The sequence below is a fragment of the Homo sapiens genome, chromosome 10 (genome assembly GCF_000001405.40).
Source record: "Homo sapiens chromosome 10, GRCh38.p14 Primary Assembly".
Lineage (NCBI taxonomy): Eukaryota > Metazoa > Chordata > Mammalia > Primates > Hominidae > Homo > Homo sapiens.
In genome coordinates, this window is record NC_000010.11 from 6,442,556 (window position 1) to 6,468,783 (window position 26,228).

At 43.3% G+C, this 26,228-nt stretch overlaps 1 protein-coding gene across 9 annotated transcripts in view, besides 2 other annotated features; it reads right to left on the minus strand.

Moving 5' to 3' along the window:
• PRKCQ (protein kinase C theta) overlaps nt 1–26,228 on the minus strand; it is a 186,550-nt gene that overhangs the window by 48,459 nt on the left and 111,863 nt on the right. For all 9 annotated transcript variants that reach the window (NM_001323267.2, XM_005252497.5, NM_001323265.1 and 6 more), the window contains 3 exons: nt 21,758–21,849; nt 19,748–19,810; nt 14,119–14,257 (listed from right to left, as the gene is read on the minus strand). In NM_001323267.2, the coding sequence (NP_001310196.1) occupies nt 14,119–14,257; nt 19,748–19,810; nt 21,758–21,849 (294 nt within the window). The remainder of the gene's footprint in view (nt 1–14,118; nt 14,258–19,747; nt 19,811–21,757; nt 21,850–26,228) is intronic.
• Nucleotides 336–505: an enhancer, noted in NCBI's record as "experimental_14068 CRE fragment used in MPRA reporter constructs". NCBI's record gives its function as "activates a minimal promoter by MPRAs in K562 erythroleukemia cells, with activity observed for both the introgressed and non-introgressed 10:6484938 variant alleles {active_cell/tissue: K562}" and the evidence as "EXISTENCE:reporter gene assay evidence [ECO:0000049][PMID:34662402]".
• Nucleotides 16,586–16,755: an enhancer, noted in NCBI's record as "experimental_14123 CRE fragment used in MPRA reporter constructs". NCBI's record gives its function as "activates a minimal promoter by MPRAs in K562 erythroleukemia cells, with activity observed for both the introgressed and non-introgressed 10:6501188 variant alleles {active_cell/tissue: K562}" and the evidence as "EXISTENCE:reporter gene assay evidence [ECO:0000049][PMID:34662402]".

Consider the following 26,228-nt stretch of genomic DNA (forward strand, 5'->3'; position numbering starts at 1 on the left):
CCTTAAAGCCTTGCTATCTATGGCTGTTCAGTTCAGGGGGCACAACTCTAATCACTGACATGCAGAATCAAATTGTGTCCTGTGCCAGGAAAGAGAACCTAGGATAGCAAAGTGCTCAAATCTAGGCCGGGTGCAGTGGCTCACTCCTGTAATTCCAGCACTTTGGGAGGCCGAGGCTAGTGGATCACCTGAGGTCGGGAGTTTGAGACCAGCCTGGCCAACGTGGTGAAACCCTATCTCTACTAAAACTACAAAAATTAACCAGGTGTGGTGGTGGGTGCTTGTAATCCTAGCTACTCCGGAAGCTGAGGCAGGAGAATCGCTTGAACCTGGGAGGCAGTGGTTGCAGTGAGCCAAGATCATGCCAATGCACTCCAGCTTGGGCAACAAGAGAGAAACTCCATCTCAAAAACAAAAAAAACCCCAAAGCACTCAAATCTAGAAATGAAAGATCTCTAAGAGCTACCTACAGCTCGATAGCGGGGTCTGAGTCTATCTGTTAGGGAGGAGGATTTAAAGTCTGGAAGCCTACCTAACATTTTGAAAGATTCCTATCCTTTCACCAACCCACTCTTCTGGCAAAAAAGGCTTTGTATGTTGATCTTTCAATGAATTCCTTTTTGGACATTGGAAGGTAGAGGGCACGCGCCATTCTGCTCAGCGTCTGACATCCCAACAAACTGTGCCTAAGCTTCTCTGAGATGGTACATGGTAGGACCCATCCATGGATGAAAGAAATAAGGAAAATGTGCCGGTGGGTAAATTACCAACGGAAATAAAACCAGTATGTAGAGGAGACAGCTGCACTTGCTTGCTCATTGCAGCTTCATTCACAATAGCCAAGATATGGACTCTAAGTGTCCATCAGTGGATAAATGGATACAGAAACTGTGCTATATATACACAGGGGAGTATCAGCCCTGAAAAAGGAGAAAATCTCTACTTGCAACAACATGGATGAACCTGGAAAACATGATGTTGAGTGAAGCAAGCCAGGCACAGAAAAACAAATGCTGCAAGATCTCATTTATATGTGAAACGTAAACACGTTGAACTCATAGAAGCTGAGAGTGGCAGTCGCCAGGGTCTGGGCAGAGGGTAGGGAGGAGGGATAGGGAAGGCGTTGAAGAAAATGTGGTACCTCCACACAGAGGAATATTATTCAGCCTTCAAGGTGAAGGGAAACCTGTCACATGCTACGTGAGTGAACCTTGATAACATTATGCTAAGTGAAGTAAGCCAGGCAGGGAAAGACAAATACTGAATGATTCCACTTACATAAGGTACCTTAAGTATTAACAGAAGTTTTTGCCCTTACTTTCAGTGACAAAAACCGTAACTACTTCTGCACCAACCTAATAGTTAAATTCTAGAGACAGGAAGTGGAATAGTGGCTGCCAGGAGCTGTGGGGAGGGGGAATAGGGAGCTGGTATTTAATGGGGACAGAGTTTTGGTTTTTCAAGATGAAAACCTTCTGGAGATTGATTGCACAACTATACAATACACTTTATTTTATTTATCTATTTATTTTTGAAATGGAGTCTCGCTCTGTCACCCAGGCTGGAGTGCAGTGGCACAATCTCGGCTCACTGCAACCTCTGCCTCCTGGGTTCAAGTAATTCTCCTGCCTCAGCCTCCCGAGTAGCTGGGATTACAGGTGCATACCACCATGCCCAGATAATTTTTGTATTTTTGGTAGAGACAGGGTTTCACATGTTGATCAGGCTGGTCTTGATCTCCTGACCTCAAGTGATCCACCCACCTCGGCCTCCAAAGTGCTGGGATTAACCGCACCTGGCACTATTTTTAACATTACTGAACTGTACACAAAAATAGTTCAGATGGTAAATTTCATGTTACGTGTATTTTCCCACAATTAAAAACAAAACCCTAGGACATAATAGTGGCACATAAAATTTTTTTTAATGGAAAAGAGGGAAAAAAAATCTTCGTTAATTCATGACTGCTGCTCCAAGGATGAGTTGCGGGCAAGTTGCTTTATTAGCCAAAACAAAATGGAGAAGGAATAATAGGATTGAGGCACTAAACTTAAAAGCAAGACAGTCAGACTCTCTTGGGGATGAACATCTGTTCTACCTTGTAATGTGTTTGGGCTTAGCTGGGTGCATCTGTGAACAGACACACATAAATACACACACACACACACACGCACGCAGAAGGTATTTTTTTGTTGGCGCTACTCGTATGACATGGAATTTTTCTCTTCCTTCTCTAATGGGCCTTTGGAATGAATGGCAGAATTGCAGCACTGATGGCCTTGAAAAGAAAATGACACCACAATTCCAGCCATTCTCCCAGCCCTTTGGGAGGCTGAGGCGGGTGGATCACCCGAGGTCAGGAGTTTGAGACCAGCCTGGCCAACATGGCGAAACCCCGTCTCTACTAAAAACACAGAAATTAGCTGGGTGTGGTGGCGCACGCCTGTAATCCCAGCTACTCGGGAGGCTGAGGCAGGAGAATCGCTTGAACCCGGGAGGTGGAGGCTGTAGTGAGCCAAGATCGCGCCTCTGCACTCCAGCCTAGGTGACAGAGCAAGACTCTGTCAAAAAAAAAAAAAAAAAAAAAAAAAAAATTCCAGACATTCCAGTATTTTCTAGGAAAGCCAGATGTTTTGATGTCGGTGAGCTTTTTTAGATGGAGCAGACTGATGTGCACGGCAACCCCATCCCTGACCCTCCACCACCCCGGGGCCCACTCCTGGGAGACAGATCAGTGCTAAGTGAGGCCCAGGGGTGCTGTGAAGTCTCTCTAAGGCAGACTTGCTAAACAAACAGAAGAACAATATCAACAGCAGCACAAGAGTTTTTCTGGCCATGTAAAACGTCACAGGCTCTACTTCTGGCTTAATCCCTTATTGTGTAGTTTTGGGAGGACCCTTTCACCCTTCTTGTTTGTGAAAAACGGGAATCATATCTGGCCCGCTTCTTATAAGCTTCTTGTGAGATCCAGTGAAAAGTAGCAAAGTCAAGATGATTTGTCTTATGGGACAACTATAAATGTTATGATAAATATCTGCTTTGATGATGCACTTGTCCCCGTTTCTGAAAATAAAGTTGCAAACAGAATTTTGCAATGTTACTGATTTCCAATATAAAAATGCTACCCACTACTCTTACCTCGATATTTACATGCTAAAGTTTACTTTATAATTTAGAAAAAATAGGCTTTGCCTTAAGGAATCATCTGAAGGTAGACCCAGGGAGAATGATAAGGAAATATAAGATGCACCTAATACAATCTTTGCTCAATTTGCTGGGCCAGGGACACATGCAATTTCCGAGACTTGCCCACAAGGCGGCGTCAAAGCAACCAGAAACGTCTCTGAACCACATATCTTTGTAAACAACTTCGTTTTGGCAGGACAAACAAAAAGAAAATTTGGAAGGACAGGAGACAGCTGTGGTGCAAATTAAGGCTTCAAAGCTTGGCGATGTTGGTAAAAAATTTCAGTTTTACCTTAGGAGGAAGAAGTAAAACGCAAACTCACACGTGCAGCAGAGTGTTCGCCTCAGGAATACTGATATGTGTTAGGAGTTTTGCAGACGTTATGTCTTTTATTGATAAGAACCCCCCTGAGCTAGGCACAGTTATCCCTCTCCTATAGGGGGTGATGATTGGGCTTAGAAAGGCCAAAGGTCTTACTTAAAGTCTCCTAGTTAGTGAGCTGAGAGCAATGTTCTGAATCTGGTCTTTCAGGATTTTACCACGTGATGTTCCTTCCATAGCATAATGTGCCTCTTGGTTTTAAACCTCAAGCTGTCATGGTCACACTATGCTCAGTTTTTTTTTTTTTTTTTTTTTTTTGGAGACAGAGTCTCGCTTATGTTGGCCAGGCTGGAGTGCAGTGGCGCGATCTCAGCTCACTGCAACCTCCGCCTCCCAAGTTCAAGCGATTCTCCTACTTTAGCCTCCTGGGGAGCTGGGATTACAGGTGTGTGCCACCACATCCAGCTAATTTTTGTATTTTTAGTAGAGACGGGGTTTCACCATGTTGGCCAGGCTGGTCTCGAACTCCTGACCTCAGGTGATCCGCCTACCTCCGCCTCCCAAAGTCCTGGGATTATAGGCATGAGCCACCATGCCCGGCCCATGCCCAATTTTTAAAGAGACTGTGGTGGAGAAACACCAGCAAGGGTGGCCCCTTTCTCTCTCAGCCCCGGGACCTTGCCTCATTGTGATCTCTTCTTGTGTTCTGCTCTTTTTCAGTCCTTGCTTTGACCCAAAGAATCAGATGCACAGCTCAAAATGCACAAGGAAACCCGGGAAAGCAGCGAGAGAGGAACAGTGGTTTCACCGAACGACGCCAGAGCAAGCCTCATCTGTTCTCCTTCAGCCTCAGAAGCTGGGAAGTCAGGTCTGGACAGGCGGGGCTCTGCCACCATGATGTGCAACTGGGTGAGTGCTGCCCCAGCAGTCAGTGACCTCCTGGGGCCAATACCAGTGTGGTTTCCAGGGAAATCCGACTTTCTCCAGGGAGCTGCTTCCATGCATTGCAATCCCATCTGGATTTACTGAGTGTCTAGTGTGCCATAGAAAGTATGATGTTTCCGGCTGGGCGCAGTGGCTCACACCTGTAATCCCAGCACTTTGGGAGGCCAAGGCGGGCGGATCATGAGGTTAAGAGATCGAGACCATCCTGGCCAACATGGTGAAACCCTGTCTCTACTAAAAATACATAAATTAGCCGGGCATGGTGGCACGCGCCTGTAGTCCCAGCTACTCGGGAGGCTGAGGCAGGAGAATTGCCTGAACCTGGGAGGCGGAGGTTGCAGCGAGCCATGATTGTGCCACTGCACTCCAGCCTGGGCAACAGAGCAAGACTCCACCTCAAAAAAAAAAAAAAAAAGTACGATATTTCCCTGTTTAACTGCCTTCCTATTCTTTGTCAAAATGAGTTTGCACCTCCAAAGAGACATCAGCCTCTCTTTGCTCCTATTATAGGAACACAGGGGGAACAGTGGGGCTTTTGAGACGCACTTTAGCTCTCAGGAGGTGCAGCCTAGTGAGACGATCCCCAGTTGAGGGAGCACAGGTGTGTTTTTCATGTGTAGCTCCTGACTCTGCTACGAAATGCATGAGCTTCTGAGATTTGAGTTCTCCTCACAGGAACGATGGGTGCCTGCCAGATGGCCTCTGTCCCAGCAGTTGTGTGTTCCTGTGTTTTAATTCTCTGCCTCACCTAGTCGGCCTTCCCCAGGCCACAGAGTCCCCTCCCTGAAGGTGCTTACAGACACGTTTGTAGGTGAGACAGCAGCGGAACACTCATAAAGACCCTGCAGGGCAGCATCGACTTAGAATCACACAAGAGAGGCTAACATTTCTCTAAGGCACTGAGGAGGGAGAACACAGCTCCAGTTTTGTTTGGTTTTTGAGGGCAAAAGGGGCAATGGGGAACTGAGTGAGGTGAAAGAAAACTTCACCAAGTGGATGGTGGGAGGGCAGCCTCCGACCAGGGGTGGGATTTTTCCAGGTGGAGTAGGGGGAAGCTGGGGAGGGTTATTTAACAAAAGACGCCCAGAGGTGGGGAATTCAGTATACACTTAGAGATGAACTTTTAGGGTGTTTGACTTTGTGTGGTCGTTTATTCAGGAAGGAGCTGAGGGCTGCTGCTCCAGCCTGTGAGTGGATAAGCCATGGTCCCTGATGGGGAGAAGCTCAATGGATTGGTCAGGTGGATGTAGAGGTGCTGTGGTTGCACAGGGAAGGGAACAGCAGGTGATTCCTAAAGCCGGTGGCAACTTTAGGGAGAAGGTGACTGTTTGAGGGGAGGGTCACAGACCAAGGATGTGCAATGGCAGAGAGGCACAGTGTGGCCTGGCCAGGGAAGGTAGCACTTAATTTTTTTTTTTTGAGTCAGAGTCTCACTCTGTCACCAAGCTGGAGTGCAGTGGCACGATCTCGGCTCACTGCAACCTCCGCCTCCCGGGTTCAGGCAATTGCCCTGCCTCAGCCTCCTGAGCAGCTGGGATTACAGGTACGTGCCACCACACCCAGCTAATTTTTTATATTTTAGTAGAGACGGGGTTTCACCGTGTTAGCCACTATGGTCTTGATCTCCTGACCTCATGATCCACCCGCCTCAGCCTACCAAAGTGCTGGGATTACAGGTGTGAGCCACTGCACCTGGCCAAAACCAAGATTTTTAAAAAGTCATTTAATCTCATTATTTTGATGAAGCATAGATATTTTTGTAGTATTAATAAATATAGTTCTGCAGACACCGCTGCTGATACCCAGGCAAACAGGGTCTGGAGTGGACCTCTAGCAAACTCCAACAGACCTGCAGCTGAGGGTCCTGTTTGTTAGAAGGAAAACTAACAAACAGAAAGGACATCCACACCAAAAACCCATCTGTACATCACCATCATCAAAGACCAAAAGTAGATAAAACCACAAAGATGGGGAAAAAACAGAGCAGAAAAACTGGAAACTCTAAAAAGCAGAGTGCCTCTCCTCCTCCAAAGGAACGCAGTTCCTCACCAGCAACGGAACAAAGCTGGATGGAGAATGACTTTGACGAGTTGAGAGAAGAAGGCTTCAGATGATCAAACTACTCCGAGCTACAGGAGGAAATTCAAACCAAAGGCAAAGAAGTTGAAAACTTTGAAAAAAATTTAGACGAATGTATAACTAGAATAAGCAATAGAGAGAAGTGCTTAAAGGAGCTGATGGAGCTGAAAGCCAAGGCTCGAGAACTACATGAAGAATGCAGAAGCCTCAGGAGCTGATGCGATCAACTGGAAGAAAGAGTATCAGTGATGGAAGATGAAATGAATGAAATGAAGTGAGAAGGGAAGTTTAGAGAAAAAAGAATAAAAAGAAACGAACAAAGCCTCCAAGAAATATGGGACTATGTGAAAAGACCAAATCTGTGTCTGATTGGTGTACCTGAAAGTGACAGGGAGAATGGAACCAAGTTGGAAAACACTCTGCAGGATATTATCCAGGAGAACTTCCCCAATCTAGCAAGGCAGGCCAACATTCAGATTCAGGAAATACAGAGAACGCCACAAAGATACTCCTCGAGAAGAGCGACTCCAAGACACATAATTGTCAGATTCACCAAAGTTGAAATGAAGGAAAAAATGTTAAGGGCAGCCAGAGAGAAAGGTCGGGTTACCCACAAAGGGAAGCCCGTCAGACTAACAGCTGATCTCTCGGCAGAAACTCTACAAGCCAGAAGACAGTGGGGACCAATATTCAACATTCTTAAAGAAAAGAATTTTCAACCCACAATTTCATATCCAGCCAAACTAAGCTTCATAAGTGAAGGAGAAATAAAATACTTTACAGACAAGAAAATGCTGAGGGATTTTGTCACCACCAGGCCTGCCCTAAAAGAGCTCCTGAAGGAAGCACTAAACATGGAAAGGCACAACTGGTACCAGCTGCTGCAAAATCATGCCAAAATGTAAAGACCATCAAGACTAGGAAGAAACTGCATCAACTAACGAGCAAAATAACCAGCTAACATCATAATGACAGGATCAAATTCACACATAACAATATTAACTTTAAATGTAAATGGACTAAATGCTCCAATTAAAAGACACAGACTGGCAAATTGGATAAAGAGTCAAGACCCATCAGTGTGCTGTATTCAGGAAACCCATCTCATGTGCAGAGACACACATAGGCTCAAAATAAAAGGATGGAGGAAGATCTACCAAGCAAATGGAAAACAAAAAAAGGCAGGGGTTGCAATCCTAGTCTCTGATAAAACAGACTTTAAACCAACAAAGATCAAAAGAGACAAGGCCATTACATAATGGTAAAGGGATCAATTCAACAAGAAGAGCTAACTATCCTAAATATATATGCATCCAATACAGGAGCACCCAGATTCATAAAGCAAGTCCTGAGTGACCTATAAAGAGACTTAGACTCCCACACAATAATAATGGGAGACTTTTAACACCCCACTGTCAACATTAGACAGATCAATGAGACAGAAAGTTAACAAGGATACCCAGGAATTGAACTCAGCTCTGCACCAAGCAGACCTAATAGACATCTACAGAATTCTCCACCCCAAAGCAACAGAATATACATTTTTTTCAGCACCACACCTATTCCAAAATTGACCACATAGTTGGAAGTAAAGCTCTCCTCAGCAAATGTAAAAGAACAGAAATTATAACAAACTGTCTCTCAGACCACAGTGCAATCAAACTAGAACTCAGGATTAAGAAACTCACTCAAAACTGCTCAACTGTGTGGAAACTGAACAATCTGCTCCTGAATGACTACTGGGTACATAACGAAATGAAGGCAGAAATAAAGATGTTCTTTGAAATCAATGAGAACAAAGACACAACATACCAGAATCTCTGGGACACATTCAAAGCAGTGTGTAGAGGGAAATTTATAGCACTAAATGCCCACAAGAGAAAGCAGGAAAAATCCAAAACTGACACCCTAACATCACAATTAAAAGAACTAGAAAAGCAAGAGCAAACACATTCAAAAGCTAGCAGAAGGCAAGAAATAACTAAAATCAGAGCAGAACTGAAGGAAATAGAGACACAAAAAACCCTTCAAAAAATTAATGAATCCAGGAGCTGGTTTTTTGAAAGGATCAACAAAATTGATAGACCGCTAGCAAGACTAATAAAGAAAAAAAGAGAGAAGAATCATATAAACACAATAAAAAATGATAAAGGGGATATCACCACTGATCCCACAGAAATACAAACTACCATCAGAGAATACTACAAACACCTCTACACAAATAAACTAGAAAATCTAGAAGAAACGGATAAATTCCTCGACATATACACTCTCCCAAGACTAAACCAGGAAGAAGTTGAATCTCTGAATAGACCAATAACAGGATCTGAAATTGTGGCAATAATCAATAGCTTACCAACCAAAAAGAGTCTAGGACCAGATGGATCCACAGCCGAATTCTACCAGAGGTACAAGGAGGAACTGGTACCATTCCTTCTGAAACTATTCCACTAAATAGAAAAAAAGGGAATCCTCCTTAACTCATTTGATGAGGCCAGCATCATCCTGATACCAAAGCCAGGCAGAGACACAACCAAAAAAGAGAATTTTAGACCAATATCCTTGATGAACATTGATGCAAAAATCCTCAATAAAATACTGGCAAACCGAATCCAGCAGCACATTAAAAAGCTTATCCACCATGATCAAATGGGCTTCATCCCTGGGATGCAAGGCTGGTTCAATATATGCAAATCAATAAATGTAATCCAGCATATAAACAGAGCCAAAGACAAAAACCACATGATTACTCAATAGATGCAGAAAAGGCCTTTGACAAAATTCAACAACCCTTCATGCTAAAAACTCTCAATAAATTAAGTATTGATGGGATGTATCTCAAAATCATAAGAGCTATCTATGACAAACCCACAGCCAATATCATACGGAATGGGCAAAAACTGGAAGCATTCCCTTTGAAAACTGGCACAAGACAGGGATGCCCTCTCTCACCACTCCTATTCAACATAGTGTTGGAAGTTCTGGCCAGGGCAATTAGGCAGGAGAAGGAAATAAAGGGTATTCAATTAGGAAAAGAGGAAGTCAAATTGTCCTGTTTGCAGATGACATGATTGTATATCTAGAAAACCCCATTGTCTCAGCCCAAAATCTCCTTAAGCTGATAAGCAACTTCAGCAAAGTCTCAGCATACAAAATCAATGTACAAAAATCACAAGCATTCTTAGACACCAATAACAGACAGAGAGCCAAATCTTGAGTGAACTCCCATTCACGATTGCTTCAAAGAGAATAAAATACCTAGGAATCCAACTTACAAGGGACATGAAGGACCTCTTCAAGGAGAACTACAAACCACTGCTCAATGATATAAAAGAGGATACAAACCAATGGAAGAACATTCCATGCTCATGGGTAGGAAGAATCAATATCGTGAAAATGGCCATACTGCCCAAGGTAATTTATAGATTCAATGCCATCCCCATCAAGCTACCAATGACTTTCTTCACAGAATTGGAAAAAACTACTTCAAAGTTCATATGGAACCAAAAAAGAACCCGCATCACCAAGTCAATCCTAAGCCAAAAGAACAAAGCTGGAAGCATCACGCTACCTGACTTCAAACTATACTACAAGGCTACAGTAACCAAAACAGCATGGTACTGGTACCAAAACAGAGATATAGATCAATGGAACAGAACAGAGCCCTCAGAAATAATGCCACTTATCTACAACTATCTGATCTTTGACAAACCTGAGAAAAACAAGCAATGGGGAAAGGATTCCCTATTTAATAAATGGTGCTGGGAAAACTGGCTAGCCATATGGAGAAAGCTGAAACTGGATCCCTTCCTTACACCTTATACAAAAATTAATTCAAGATGGATTAAAGACTTAAATGTTAGACCTAAAACCATAAAAACCCTAGAAGAAAACCTAGGCATTACCATTCAGGACATAGGCATGGGCAAGGACTTCATGTCTAAAATACCAAAAGCAATGGCAACAAAAGCCAAAATTGACAAATGGGATCTAATTCAACTAAAGAGCTTCTGCACAGCAAAAGAAACTACCATCAGAGTGAACAGGCAACCTACAAAATGGGAGAAAATTTTCGCAACCTACTCATCTGACAAAGGGCTAATATCCAGAATCTACAATGAACTCAAACAAATTTACAAGAAAAAAACAACCCCATCAAAAAGTGGGCGAAGGATATGAACAGACACTTCTCAAAAGAAGACATTTATGCAGCCAAAAGACACATGAAAAAATGCTCATCATCACTGGCCATCAGAGAAATGCAATTCAAAACCACAATGAGATACCATCTCACACCAGTTAGAATGGCAATCATTAAAAAGTCAGGAAACAACAGATGCTGGAGAGGATGTGGAGAAATAGGAACACTTTTACACTGTTGGTGGGACTGCCAACTAGTTCAACCATTGTGGAAGTCAGTGTGGCGATTCCTCAGGGATCTAGAACTAGAAATACCATTTGACCCAGCCATCCCATTACTGGGTATATACCCAAAGGACTAGAAATCATGCTGCTATAAAGACACATGCACACATCTGTTTGTTGTGGCACTATTCACAATAGCAAAGACTTGGAACCAACCCAAATGTCCAAAAATGATAGACTGGATTAAGAAAATGTGGCACATATACACCATGGAATACTATGCAGCCATAAAAAAATGATGAGTTCATGTCCTTTGTAGGGACATGGATGAAACTGGAAATCATCATTCTCAGTAAACTATCGCAAGGACAAAAAACCAAACACCGCATGTTCTCACTCATAGATGGGAATTGAACAATGAGAACACATGGACACAGGAAGGGGAACATCACACTCTGGGGACTGTTGTGGGGTGGGGGGAGCGGGGAGGGATAGCATTAGGAGATATACCTAATGCTAAATGACGAGTTAATGGGTGCAGCACACCAGCATGGCACATGTATAGATATGTAACTAACCTGCACATTATGCACATGTACCCTAAAACTTAAAGTATAATAATAATAAATAAATTAATGCAATTTAGTTATTTTAAACTATATATTATTGTTAGTATAACCTGATCATATTCCTTTTTAGGCATTGATAACACACAGTCTATCTTAGCTGGTGACAATGTATATGATTCATATATAAATAGACAGATCTTGGGGATGCTTTTCTAACAGATCAAAAGGCATGAAGATATGTAAAGAGCATGCCCTGGTGATGGATGATAAGGGAGGAAAGCAGATGGAAGGGTGTCACCAAGAGCCAGGCAAGAGATGCTCATGTTCTGCACTAGGGTAACAGCAGTAAGGGCGAGAGGACCTGGAGATCTGGGCGGAGCTGGATCAAGGGGATTTGTTTGAGCTTGGAGAAGGAATCAAGGGAGAGTCTGAATTCAGTCACAAGTTTAGGGCAGTGAATGGACATGAGAGGGTCCAATTATAGAAGGTGTTGGTGTTTGGGTGGATTTGAAGGGTAAGAAAGAAAGGGGAAATTTGTATAATTCCTAGTTTTCTCTCTAGAAGACTGGATGGATGACATGTAATTCACCAAGAAAGAAAAGGAAAGAGTGAAGTAGGGAGCAAGTTCAACAGAGAGAGTTTTGGACCTGCTGTCTTTGAAGGACTCATGCATTTACTTGGAGGTCTCAAGCAGGAAAGTGGACGTAGTGTCTGCAGCAGGAAGAAGTGCAGGTGGGCCATATTGACTCTACAGCGAAGACCACAGTCATCAATGAAGTTGCTCGTGGAGGATGTAGAGTAAGAAGAGAAGAGGACCAAGCACTGAATCACGTGGAGACAAGCACACGTAAAAGAAAAGAAGGGAGTGAAGCTGCAGAGAGAAGCAAGCTGTGGAAGCCGGATTCTGCAAGAAGCAGATGGAAATCGGGAAGGAAGGTTTGCCGTGGAAAAGACCCGGCACCCAAAATCTGTAGACAGGAATACATCAGAGTAAGGCAGCCACACCAAGGTGTTGCAAGGTGAAGAGGAAAGAAATTGAGATGGCTCAGGTGAGGCTGAGGGAGTGACAAAGGAGACTGCTGCTGGGGATGGCAGTGAGGGTGGTCTGAGCAGAGTGCATTTGGGCATATTTCAGAATTGTTACAAAGGGGAATTCAGTAATTGAGTTGAGTCCGTCCTCTTAAGTCCCCATCACTCGTGCTTTGATGAGCTTTGGTTTCACTTCAAATGAAAATGGTTTATAGCATCAAAACCTGTATCTGTGCCAAACTGAATGAAACATAGATTTCTACGATCAGAAAGTTATTTAATCAATAAGCCTCGCTCTGTGAGTTCAACAATGCCATGTAAGCTAAAAGACATCATTCCTCATGGAATAGAAGCCAAGGCTAAATTCAAATTACATATCACCCAACCACAGGGCAAAGCTACATAGTTCTAGGACTCAGATGGCCACAACTCCTTTGGCAATGACAGGAACTTGCTGCTGAATAATTTTACCCAGGAAATCAGAGGTCTGCCAGAGTCTTTATCAAACAACCATCTCCAATCACACGTTTATTAGTTAGTTCATCCATTTACTCTTCTAGAAGGTATCTATTAGCACCTTAATATGCCAACACCTGCACTAGGTCCTTAGATGTAAAAGTGAACAAGATCACACAAATCTACCCATGAGAGAAGATGGCATAGCACCATGTACACTTTGGATGGACATCAGTTTCCTGGCTTTGACATTGTACTGCAGCTACATGAGATGTGACCACTGGGGGAAACTGGATGAAGGGCACAGTTGGGAGATATTTCTGGACTATGTTTTGCAAATTCCTGTGAATCTACAATTATTTCGAAATGAAAATTTTTAAAAAGTGAATATGAATCTGTCCATGACTGCAGAGCAAATATCCAGTCATGCAGGGAGATTTGAAGATGAAAAAGCAACCAGAACAAGTGCTGTGCCATGGGAAAGACCAAGTGGGAGGGGTGTCACTAATCTCCCTGGGTGGGCAGCTGGGGAGGATTCTGTGAAAAGGGGGGAGGTGGGTTTAGTTGAATTGATGGATGCCTTCTGTGCAAATGTCACTTCTTTGTGTGTCCAGAATGTGACAGCAGTGTCTTCTTCTTATTTTTTAATGGGGGCAGGGGTGAGTTTTAACTTTCACACTCTTTCTCATCTAATGCTCACAATAACACAATGACATCAGCATTATACCCATTTTACAGAAGAGGAAATGGAAGTCAGTGAGACTTTGGCAATCACTCTGTGCTTACATCAGTGGTGGCTTAGAAACTCAGTCCAGGTCTTCTGACCCCACAGTTTCACCACTTGACTTGGGTGGACGCTTGCTCCACCTGGCTCTTCACTAGCTGTTCCTTCTGGTAGGTCTGAGCAGAGTGAATATGTTTTAAGGCTGGGGGAAAGGAAATGCCAAACTCTGCAAGCCTTGGAGAGATGTGATTTGTAAAAGTAGCGCTCCCCACAAAATAATAATAGAAACCCACATGCATGGTGGCGTTTATGAGATACTTAAGAAAACAGGTACAAATCTTGAATGAAGATATTTAAAACCTTCTGATTTTCAGGGGCTAAAGAAGCAATGGCATGTGGCCAGGGCATGGTGAGGTGGGAGCAGCCTGTCACTGCATTCCTACCTCTGGGGCGATGTAGTCAGGTGTCCCACAGAAGGTATTCGTCTTGGCATCTCCTAACATGTTCTCCTTGCACATTCCAAAATCCGCGATCTTGATATGTCCATCTTTGTCTAACAGGATGTTATCTAGCTTCAGGTCCCTGAAAAACAAAAGTGAAGCAAATCTCACATTAATCAATATAATTTGGTTAACATAAAATTCCATAGGAGGCGAGGGAGTTTGTCTCATTGCAGCCTGAGAGGGGCTCACGAGAGGCGCTTATGTATCTATCCACTTGCACACCAAGTGGGGTGTAGACAAAGCAGATTCTGCAAGGGCACGCTGGCTGCTATGGATTCTTTCTCTGATTTACCAAGGGGTGCAGCTCAGTATAAGGAGGACAGAGCACCCATACCCATTGGAGACCCTTGATCCCAGGACTTTCCTGAGGGTAATGACGAAGGAGGAAAACCTAAAAAATATACTTACTGTATGCCATTTTCTACATATTTGTGAATGAATTATACTGCACCTAATTCCAAGTCCAGTTGATGAAGTTTGTTCCTAACTAATACTGAACCCCTTGAGAACCGGAATCCATCCAACGCCAGAATGTCATGCCAACAAACTTCTGTTTCCTTGGAGAACTAGTATCCTCTTAAAAGAACCCATTCCATTCTTAGGGAAATGTAACTGATAATATTTTTTAAAAAACAATTAACCGAACTTTGCTTCCATGTGATGTCACCTATTGGTCCAAGGGGGCTTTCTATTGTTACCATATGTGACACCCCAAATATTTGAAAAAAATGACATCAAGTTTTCTCTTCTCTCACCAAGATCAGGGACTTCGCTCCTCATGATGTGGTTTTCAGACCCTTTTGACCTTGTACCACAGCTGCATGAGATGTGGCCACTGGGGGAAACTGGATGAAGGGCAAACATTCTGGCCTCTACCTTCCAAATATCTTGAATTTGTCCGTTTTCTTCTCGACTGACTTGGCTCAGAATGAAGCCAGAATCCTCCAGAGAGACAATCTGATTGGTGCAGGTTACAGCGGCACCCAGAGCTCCATTACCATCCTCTTGCCTTTTGCCACGGTGGACTAAGATCCTGCACCATATTTTTCATAGTTTCATCACAGTAATGCCCAATATTGAGTTTATTGTAAACTAAAACCTTCAGGTGTTTTTCTGCTTTCCTTTATGAAGTGCCATTATCCCAGTTTCTTCTCATTCTGTACTTGTGAAATTGATTTTTTAAAGATAATTCAGGTGCTTCCCTTGATATCAGGTTTTTTTTTTTCCCCTGAGACGAGGTCTTTCCCTGTCATCCAGGCTGGAGTGCAGTGGCATGATGTCAGTTCACTGCAGCCTCAACCTCTTGAGCAAGCAGTCCTCCCACCTCAGACTCTTGACCACATGTGTGCCATCGCCATGCCTGGCTAATTTTTAAAATTTTTTGTAGAGACAAGGTCTCACTATGTTGCCAAGGCTGGTCATGAACTCCTGACATTAAGCAATCCTTCTGCCTCAGACTCAAAATGCTGGGATTATAGGCGTGAGCCACTGCGCCTGGCCAGCTCTGAGGGATCTAGGTCAATATGGGAAAGGTTCTGAAAGGCTGCCATGTGAAGCCAGCCCCCCATGGGGGTGAGGAAGGAGTGCCAAGGAAGACCAGTGAGGACCCCTGGAGCCAGCTGGAGAGGGCAGAGAACCCAGAGGCCCAGGGTATTCTGAGGCATGTCATGCTTACACCCTATGGGGCATCAGGACCCAGGGGAGAACTTCAGAGTCCACAGCCTGTGCATGTCTCTGCAAGCTTTCATCTGTCAGAGGAGAAGCAGGCCATCATGGCATCAAGCAGAAGAGAACATCCAGGGGCACCCTTTCATTCCATCATGAGGTTAACGGAGGCAAAGCTTTTCTATTTGGAAGAGGTGGAGTGGGCATCACAGTTGGCTTCCCAATCCCAGCATTACGGCCGGCTGGCTCCGCCTCACCATTTCCCCTCTGGCAGCCTCCAAGACTCATCCAAGGAACAGGGACCATGACACTTGCCTTGCTTGTCTCATGGGGTCCTGTAACGTCCAATGAGAATCACGTGAAAGCATTGAAAGTGGCTTCAAACACATGGGTTGGGCCCAGTTTTATTGTCAATAAAATATAATCTTAAGGTTCTTCTTAGTTCTAATACTCTAAGATTGGAAGTTCTAGATTCTTCTTTCCACATCTGCATACTTTCCGGCTCTGTGGTTTTACATTTGACCCAAACCAGGGCTTACATCATCTTTGAAGATGCCGTCGATTTTGTGGTTCCTCTGGCAGATGGTGAGTGACGCCACCACACCTGCTTCTCCACATCTCATGCTTTTCATCGACCAACAGCAGCCTTGCCCCTGAAGCTGGATGCACCTGTTGAATATTCCTCCATTTTCCTATTGCTGTGCCTTTCCTGGAGTCACTTCTTCCATCTGCAAAGCCTCTTCCACTCTAAAAAGTCTACCTTCACAGAAGAATTTTTGTTTGCCATCTCCCCTACTTAAGTCTGGTGATATATTTTTTCCTTTCAGCTCTTGCACTTTTAATTGGAATAACATTCACTTGGACATTTTTTGAATGTACAGCTTGTGTCTTTTCATCTGTTCATCCATTCATCATCAATCCATTCTACCTCTGAAGAAACCCCAGAAAGTGGCTCATCAGGTTTCTGGGGGTTGGGACTTCTCTATGTTTAGTACCCACTGCCATGCTTGACAAAGACCTGCACATCCAGAGCACACATGGTCTGTGATATCAGCTGTATGGGTGGAATGGTGGCCCCCAGAAGATATGTCCAGGTATGTTCATGTCAGAACCCCCAGAACCTTGTAGATGTGACCTTATTTGGAAAAAGGGTCTTTTTTTCCAAATGTAATTAAGTTAAAGATGTAATTAAGTTAAAGATATCAAGGTGAGATTATCCTTGATTATCGAGGTGGGCCCTAAATCCATCAAGTGTTCTTAGAAAAGACAGATGGGGGCAAGAGAAGGCCATGGGAAGACAGAGGCAGAGACTGGGTGATGCAGCCACAAGCCAAGGAATGCCTGCAGCCACCAGAGGCTGGTAAATCGAGGGCTTGGTGGGGGCATGGCCCTGCCCACATCTTGCTTCCAAATGTCTAGCTTCCAGAATAAGCCACCAAATTTGGGGTAATTTCTTATGGCAGCCCTTCAAAACTAATGTATCAGTTTTGTGAACAAATTCAGAAAATTATTATCCTATGAGGTCAAAAGAAAGAAATGAATTGAATCCTTTTGTTAATTCAGTTGCCAAATTAAAAGTTTAGGTGAGTCAAATTACACACAGACAGTTGAATAATTTCTTACTATTCAACTTATTATAAGGCAACTTATTTCTTATTATGCAGCAGGCCAGTTTTAAAGCCAGCATACTTGTCTGGTGACCTATCCTCAGTTATAACTATTTGATGATGACTTTCAAGGGTCTCCTGCAACCTAATGAGCACAAAAAATAAACTCATTTTTTTTTCTTGTTGGTGCCTAAGAAGGCTTAAAGAACATAACTTCCATGCATGGGCAGGGTAAGACTCGAAAATGGGTACAATTTGTTGTGATAGTAAAGCTACTTATGGACATCTATTGCTTTTTTTTTTTTGTTCTGAGTGTTAATAATTTACATGGTGACATGATAGAAAGAAGCTTTGTGACACAGGGAAATAAAATGCCCCGAGGCATGTGGGTTTAGGTTTCACGGGGTCCCTTCCAGTCTAAGATCTCTGTCTCTCTCTCTCTCCAGTCCCTCCTAATTTTTATTCCTACTTCCCCTTTTTTTTTTTTAACTTTTTAAATTTTTTGAGATGGACTGTTGCTCTGTTGCCCAGGCTGGAGTGCAATGGTGTGATCTCAGCTCACTGCAACCTCCGCCTAACAGGTTCAAGTGATTCTTGTGCCTCAGCTTCTAAAGTAGCTGGGATTACAGGCAAGGGCCACTACACCCAGCTAATTTTTGTATTTTTAGTAGAGACAGGATTTGTCATGTCGGCCAGGCTGGTTTCCAACTCCTAACCCCAGGTGATCCATCTGCCTTGGCCTCCCAAAGTGCTGGGATTTGCAGGTGTGAGCCACTGTGCCCAGCCCCTTTCATTTATTTATCTCCCCACCCATCCATCACCATCCATCCATCCATCCCATCCATCCATCCAACCATCTGTTCAATTTACCCATCACCCATCCATCCATACCCATCCATCCATCCGTCCAACCATCTGTTCATCCATCCGTTGTCCATCCATCCATCATCCATACATCATCCATCCACCCATCTGTTCATCCATTCCTCATCCATCCATCATTTATCCATCCATCCATCCAGGTACATCCATTCATCCATCCATCCAACCATCTGTTCATCTACTCATCATTCATCCATCATTTATCCATCATTTATCCATCCATCCATCCATCCATCCATCCACATCCATCCATTCATCCATCCATTCAACCATCTGTTCATCCATTCATCATTCATCCATCATTTGTCCATCCATTCAACCATCCACACCCATCCATCCATCCAAATATCTGTTCATCCATTCATCCAACCATCTGTTCACTCATCCATCATCCATCCATCCATCTATCCATCCACCCCACACAATTTAGTCAGTGCCTAGGTACAAAAATATTTTAGATACATTGCAGGCCTTACACATATAAAGAAAAATTTAAAAAAATTCTGCTAAGAGTTTTAAAATAATATTCTGGTGAGTATTTCTCAATTTCCTGAAGATTAAAAAATTATAAAACAGATTCTTAATCTATGATTTTGTAGATAGACCAAAAAAAATTACATTCAAAGAGGCTGCTTAAGAATACTTACTTCTCAAACCTCCTCTAAGCCTTTAGTTGTGTGACTCCAAATAGGGCAACCCTCACTTGACTGCACCCTCAGAAAATGGAGAGATCCTTCCTTGTTAAGTGAATTCTACACTCTGTAAGCACCAAAGCTTCAATACTAATTATCTGCTCTCCAGCAGCTCAGCCATCCTCCTCACTAGATCCTTTCTTTTTTTTCCTTTCTATTTTTCCTCCTAATCTGCAGTGAGTTGGAAATCTGACAGTAAGCTTGTAAAGGTTTGTATGTTAAATAAGTGCCAACTACATTTTGAGAAAAGAAGTGAGGAGATTGAGATACAATAGTGTCAATCTAAGAGCTTGGACAGAAGAACGTGAAATGATGTCATACAGCAGAGAAGAAGAAAATTCCATAAGCATTTCTAGGTGGCTCAAAGCAAAGACAAGCAAAAATAAGAGGTATGAAGGGGACAAAAGAGAAAGAAACCGTAAGGTATGATAAGAAAGAGAAAACAGGACAGTGAAAATGGGAAAAGGAAGGTGAAAGAAGGAATTCAAGTGAGAACCAGCATAAAGGACAGAATGAGCTCAGCACTTTCCTGCTGTTGAGACTGGAATGTCTTCCTTGGTTGTAAGTCATCATCCATGTAATCATTGTGGGCAGCAGACCTATGTGTGGAGCTTACTCCCAGGAAATCACATGGGCTGTCTCACAGCACTCGGTGCAATGATTAAATTAACTGAGCCAGGAAAGCCGATATCTTAGCATTTGTTTCCACAAAGCAAAATTTACCTGTAGACTATTCCTTTGGAATGAAGGAACTGCAGACCAAGAATGATTTCAGCAGCATAAAACCTGGGGGAAGGAGAACCAAGGTTCAACATGAATGTTGTCATGGAACGAAATAAAATCCCAAACCCAGACTGACCTTTTTCTGACATGCTGTGTATGGCTAAATGGCATACACACATAACTCTGTTTAATCCTAACAAGGAAGATGTTGTCCATTCATTCTACACATAAGAAAGTAGAGGCTCAGACACCTCCAGCCTCAGTCCTAACAGCATAAAACAGAGCTGGCATCTTAAGTGAGTCCTGCCTGTATCTAGTACTTGTTCTTATATTTTAAACAATAATGCTCACATTGTCATTTTTTTTGTTGTTTTTGCTATTGCTAATAAAACATACACAGACATTAAAAGTAATAGTATAGGCCAGGTACGGTGGCTCACGCCTGTAATCCTAGCACTTTGGGAGGCCCAAGCAGGTGGATCACTTGAAGTCAGGAGTTCAAGACCAGCATGGGCAACATGGTGAAACACCATCTCTAGTAAAAATACAAAAATTAGCAGGGCATGGTGTTGGGCGCCTGTAGCCCCATCTACTCAGGAAGCTGAGGCTTGATAATCACTTGAACCTGGGAGGCAGAGGTTGCAGTGAGCTGAGATCACACCACTGCACTCCAGCATGGACGACAGAGCAAGACTCTGACTCAAAAAAAAAAAAAAAAGTAATAGTATAGATAATAGGCAAATAATTTCTCCCTTTGTTTTAAACTCTGGTTGGCACCCATAGACCTGTATGCACCATTCTGAATAGAACTAGCTGGTTTATTTTCGTACTGAGAACCTTTAGCCTGGGCAACACTTACAGCCCATGAGGTGGAAAAGAGGATATTAGCAGATGCAAGATAAGTTACACTTCATCTTCAATGGTGACAAGGTTAAAGGAAATGAGTTTACCCCATCACTGGTGGGATTAAGGTCGGATATAAGAGATAGCTTCCTGGAAGGGAAGCTTGCTGGATCTTGTGGAAGAATGCAAAATTCTCCTTCCTGGAAGGCATTTAGGACAGGATGGATAGCGTGGGTCCGGGCTGGCTGGAGACGACAGTGGACTAAGTGAATTCTTTCCGGCATGAAAAATGCCCGATGATTTCTCTGCTGCAGAAATCCAGTAAAATTACCTCTGGGTGCATTGCTGAGGTTTCCCAGAGCAATGATCTCAGCAGAGTGCTACCCACTAGATGTGATAAACAGCCATTCCAGCCAGGGATTTTAAGAAGCTGGCGGACCAAATCCATTTCTCAACCCACTTCAACCTAAACCACTCAAAGTGTTCATGCAGATGGGAGGGAGGGATTATTGAGCGCTGAGCAAAGGAAGCTAGCATGTACTCATCATTTTCCAAGGAGCCCAGTGGCAGAGCTTTCTTTTACTTGCATGTCATGGGGAGCAGGAAGTGGGACCCAAAGGGAACAGCATGGGCAGGAGTGGTGGTGAGAACTGTGGATGCAGGTGCAGTCCCACCAGGTACACACAGCCTGCCCCGTCTCCAGGTGTCTCAGGCTGCCGGCACTAGGAAGGAGAAGCTTTGTTCTCAGATGGACTAAGTGCCTCTTCCTGCTCCCTAAAGCTTTATGCCTCCACATCAGGCTTTCCATAAGATGCCTCAGCTACAAGCTCCATCCCTGGGGACCACCCTTGAGGTCTGCAGTCCATTTCACTGCTTCCTTTCCAAAGGTTACATATTTGCTTCTGTGCTCAGGTTAGTTAGAAGCCTGATGAATCGGGATGGTTCCTTAAGAAACTAAGTAGTTAGTTTTAAATCACAGAGAAATGAAACCAAACTGACACGAATTTCAGTTTCACAACCTGGGAAAACTGTCGCCTTGCTCGATGTATTCCCAAGGGTTCACCTGGCCCTGGGATTCAGGCATGCCAAGTGGGAAAAAAGGAAAAAAAAACCAGCAAGAACTGACAAGAACAGTGGAAAACTCCCAAACCCTTTAAAGCCTCTTACGTCGCTCTGGAAAGGTCGAACTTGTGGCAGCTTTGGATGTGGTACATTAAGTCCCCTCCGTTGAGGTACTCCATCACAAAAAAGAGGTTTTCCTGTGGAAAAACAAAACAATTCCAACTTTTATTTCATTTCATTTTTATTTATTTATTTTGTCCAAGACAGGGTCTCACTCTGTCTCCCAGGCTGGAGTGCAGTGGCGTGATCTCGGGTCACTGCAACCTCCGCCTCCTGGCTTCAAGAGATTCTCCCGTCAGCCTCCCTAGTAGCTGGGACTACAGGCATGCACCACCAGGCCCAGCTAATTTTTGTATTTTTAGCAGAGATGGGGTTTCGCCATGTTAGCCAGGCTGGTCTCCAACTCTTGACCTCAGGTGATCCGCCCACCTTGGCCTCCCAAAGTGCTGGGATTACAGGCGTGAGCCGCCATACCCAGTCACAGTTCCAATTTTTAGCTCTTTAGAGAAAATACAACAAGGAGGACTACTTTTTAAATGGATTAGATCATTTCAGGGGAACTAATTCTGTTGTGAAATCACTTATCAGAAGACTGTCAAAATCATTTAAACAATCTATGTTTTTGAGCCCCAGGAAGCCTGGGGAATCTAGGTGGGATGCCCTGTGGCATCTAGATGCTTGCGTGTTACAACCCAGCAGATGAGCGGGGGGCACAAGGGAGAGTCCAGTTGACCTGCTGGCCAGACAATGGGATGGTGCCAGGCACTTAGGGCACTTAGCATGTGCCGATTGTATACTTATTGAAAGTGACAGGGTGCAGGGTGATAAGGAGAATGTGTTTTGGTCTCTGACTCCAAGGGCGGAGCTTGAAAACATTCATTCACTCAACACTCAGTAATTAGCTACTGAGCATATTCTGTGGGCGTGGCGTGGGGGGAGTGGGCGGGTCATGTCAGTCATTCCTCCCTGAAGCTTGCAATCAAGTTTAACCTTATTTTTCTCCAGTCCTGACTTAACTCATGGCAGAGGCAAGCCACAGTTTATGACGGAGTTCTTCTGGCAGAGGACATGATGTATGTCAGTAGAGCTGGGGCCCTCGAGTGGCCACAGTCAGAAGTAGGGCTGGGTGGTCTTCAGGCTGTGGTGGGCATATCAGCCAGGATTGTAACCAGCCTCAGCAACTCAATGATGTGAGACAATTTTTTTTTCCAATAAATGTATTTATAACACTTTAGAGAAACCTGATTTTTTAAAGGGTTGTAATGCATCACAGAATCAGTAATCCATAAAGTGTGAGGACCTTCGGTGCGTCTGGGCATGAATTTGCATCTGAAAGTCTCACCTGGGTGGTTTCTTAACAGAATTAACCTTTACGTTTTGATGTGAACCCAACCGAGGCCGTGGGGCATAGGAGGTAATAGTAGAAACATTGTTCTGGTCTGACAGTGAGACTCCTTGCCTGGTCACCACAGAATGGGGAAACCAAGTATTGTGGCAATTATCTCAATAATCCAGGTCAAGGTAAGCATCCGTCTTTTTTCAATGTTAGTTTCCGATCTGATTTACTAATTCCATATATCTTTAAGTGAAGCCCACCCTTTTCTCTTCTGGACAGGCCCAAATTCTCAGCTGACATAAATCATGACTTAACACAGATTTCAAACCCAATTTGAGAGTCGTCATTGGCTTTGCCTGCACACACCTGCTTTCTCATGCTACCTCTTGCTCTCATCAGCACCACAGAAAGAGCTTCTGTTCTAACCTCAGCTTTTTACTCAAACTATAATGGCCCTATACAAGCCACAAAGGTGGAATCTTCTTTTAAGTAGTCACGAGAGCAAAGCGTATGAAAGTGTAGAGCGAAACCATTTCCAACAGTGCTTGAGTGAACGGTTTCTTCTAAGTGTTTGGATGCTTACAAATTCCTAGAAAGGCTGACATTTCAGAATTTAACACTGTCAATTTAGATGTGGAGAAAGTGGTGGGAGGGGACTGGAGGCAACAGTTCAGCCCCACTCCCATGCATTCCACACACCTTCCCACCTATTCTCAGGTCTGAATCAGACGCCACACTAGTGGTGAGCATTGGGGGGGTTGAATTGGCCATTAAAGTCTAAGAGATCACAGGGCACAGTCAGTGTTTACTAACATGAGGGTGAGAAGAAGACTACGTTACTAGTGATTATTAATTAACAGCAATGGAGATTTATAGTATGTTGGATGCCCCACATTTAACCCTCCCAAGAGAACTGCAGGCTCCACAATAAATCTGTCAAATATCTGTTCTGCTCTGTGATAAAATTAGCACAAATGTATGCACATACAAACTACACAGTCCAGAGGTTTGGATTTTGAGGAGCACATTTTGAGGGATGGATAAGCCTTTTAAAAGCTGAATCCAAAATCCCATCATAAAAGGTAAATACAAATATAATAGGCTCAAACTTTCATAAACAGCTGGGGAAGGAGAGCTCAGAGTTGAAGGCAACCCACAGCTGACTAGAACCTCTGCAGAACCGCAAGCAAAAAGAAGTGTCTGCCTGCTGGAAAGACTCTGGGCTGGCATAGATAGAAACAAACCAAGAAGAATGAGACTCAGAGTAATTGCAAAGAATGTGGGCTTCATCCTTACTCAGCCCTGGGTTCAAAGCCCCTCTATTTATAACTCTGGAGACGTGACTTAACCTCTCCTGAGCTTCATTTAGTTTGTGAAATGGGGTAGTAATACTCCTACCTCCTAGGGTTGCTGTGGGTATTAAACAAAATAGTGTGTGTGGAAATGAATCTCTGCATTGGTCCTCAGTGGGCAATTGATAACTGATGGCAGCTGTCCTTCTAGGAAGCAATTTAAAAGCCAGGAAAGACAAAACCAAAACCAATCCAAAAACCAGCAAATACTTCCCAGAAGAAGCAAATGAACAGTTCTCTGGCCGATGGCTCTCGAAAGAAAGAAGAAAACAGAATTAGATTCCCTCCTGGGCTGCCGTTTAGGTTCTGGCCACCTGCTGAGAGAGGATACCAAGCAGGCTGAGAGAGAGAGAGAGAGAGAGAGACAGAGAGAGACAGACAGAGAGAGAGAGAGAGAGAGACAGAGAGAGAGAGAGAGACAGAGAGAGACAGACAGAGAGAGAGAGAGAGAGAGAGAGAGAGAGAGAGAGAGAGAGATGGTGGGGAGGGAGGGAGGGAGAGAATGTGGCCTGTGTTGGGTTAATTGTAAATGTCACTTACTAGTCTAGACCTCACGTCTTTATGGCGGGTAATACATTAACCGAGGCAAATGATTCTTTCCGGTGGGTGAGAATTGAAGCTGTGATGGCATTGGGGGATGGGACATGCCAAACGCGTCCCAGTCTTGCCGACTGTCAACAACTCCTGGCAAAGCATCTGTCGAATGGAAATTCTAGTCTGTGAGAAATGAGACTGTCGCTAATCAGCTGTGTGATCAGGTAAATCCCACCATCACAGGGCCTTGGTTTCCTCCTCTGAAAAATGAACCCTGTCCATGAAAATGAGAGAGTCACCATTACCTACAGCTTTGTTGTGATTTCCAGACAACTGAAGGCAATAAACAATGTTGACATTCTGTAGATAGGTGGGTAATCAAAGCTGTATGACTCTTATGTTTGTGTTATTGATGTTTTAAAGAAATGGTATTTAAGTTGGGTGCAGAGGTGCATGCCTGTAATCTCAGCTATTCATGAAGCTGAGGCTGGAGGTTCACTTGAGCCTAGGAGTCCAAAGCCAGCCTGGGCAACAGAGTGAGACCCTGTCTTAAAAAAAATGATGATTAAATACAAGATCAAAGTGATAGATTTAACAAAATCAGTTGTATAATTCTCATAGGACTGCGTTTGCATACACAAATATCATTTGGAGCAGATAAAGGTCCTAGAGCTGTCAAAATATATCATTATTTAAAACACAAGATAGTTCTTTAAAGGGAGGAATAGGACATTTTGTGAATATTCTAGAATTAGTAAAGGGTGAATTGTAAAAGTGGCCTCAAAAGTTATTTAATACAACCTAGCTTCTACACTGCTTTCTTCTTACAGTGATTACACTTTTCAAAGGAGAGAATGAGAATAAAGAGAATGGAAAAGTGTTTAGTTGTGATGACTATTCAACACAGCTAATCAAATATTGAGTAAACAAGGAAATGGCTGGCAAATGTGCATATATTATAGGATGAATGACAGGTTTATAGCATTAAAGAAATAAACTCATGATTTTTATCAGACTAATAACAGTTAATTTTGTAAATGCACTGAGAACTTGGCAAATATCATGCAAATAAGATCAGATTTGTAGACTCCCTCTCCAGAAAAACAAGATGGGAAAAGAAGGAAAAGAATAATTATAGTCATTTTTTTCGAGGTATCTTTTTTCTCCGAAGGCTAGTAAACCAACGTAATAAATTTTACACAAGAGAATATTTGCAATCTCTGCAAAATAAATAAAATTAAGATCAAAATATTTATGACAAAACATCTAAATTTACCATCACACCTTTCAAAGT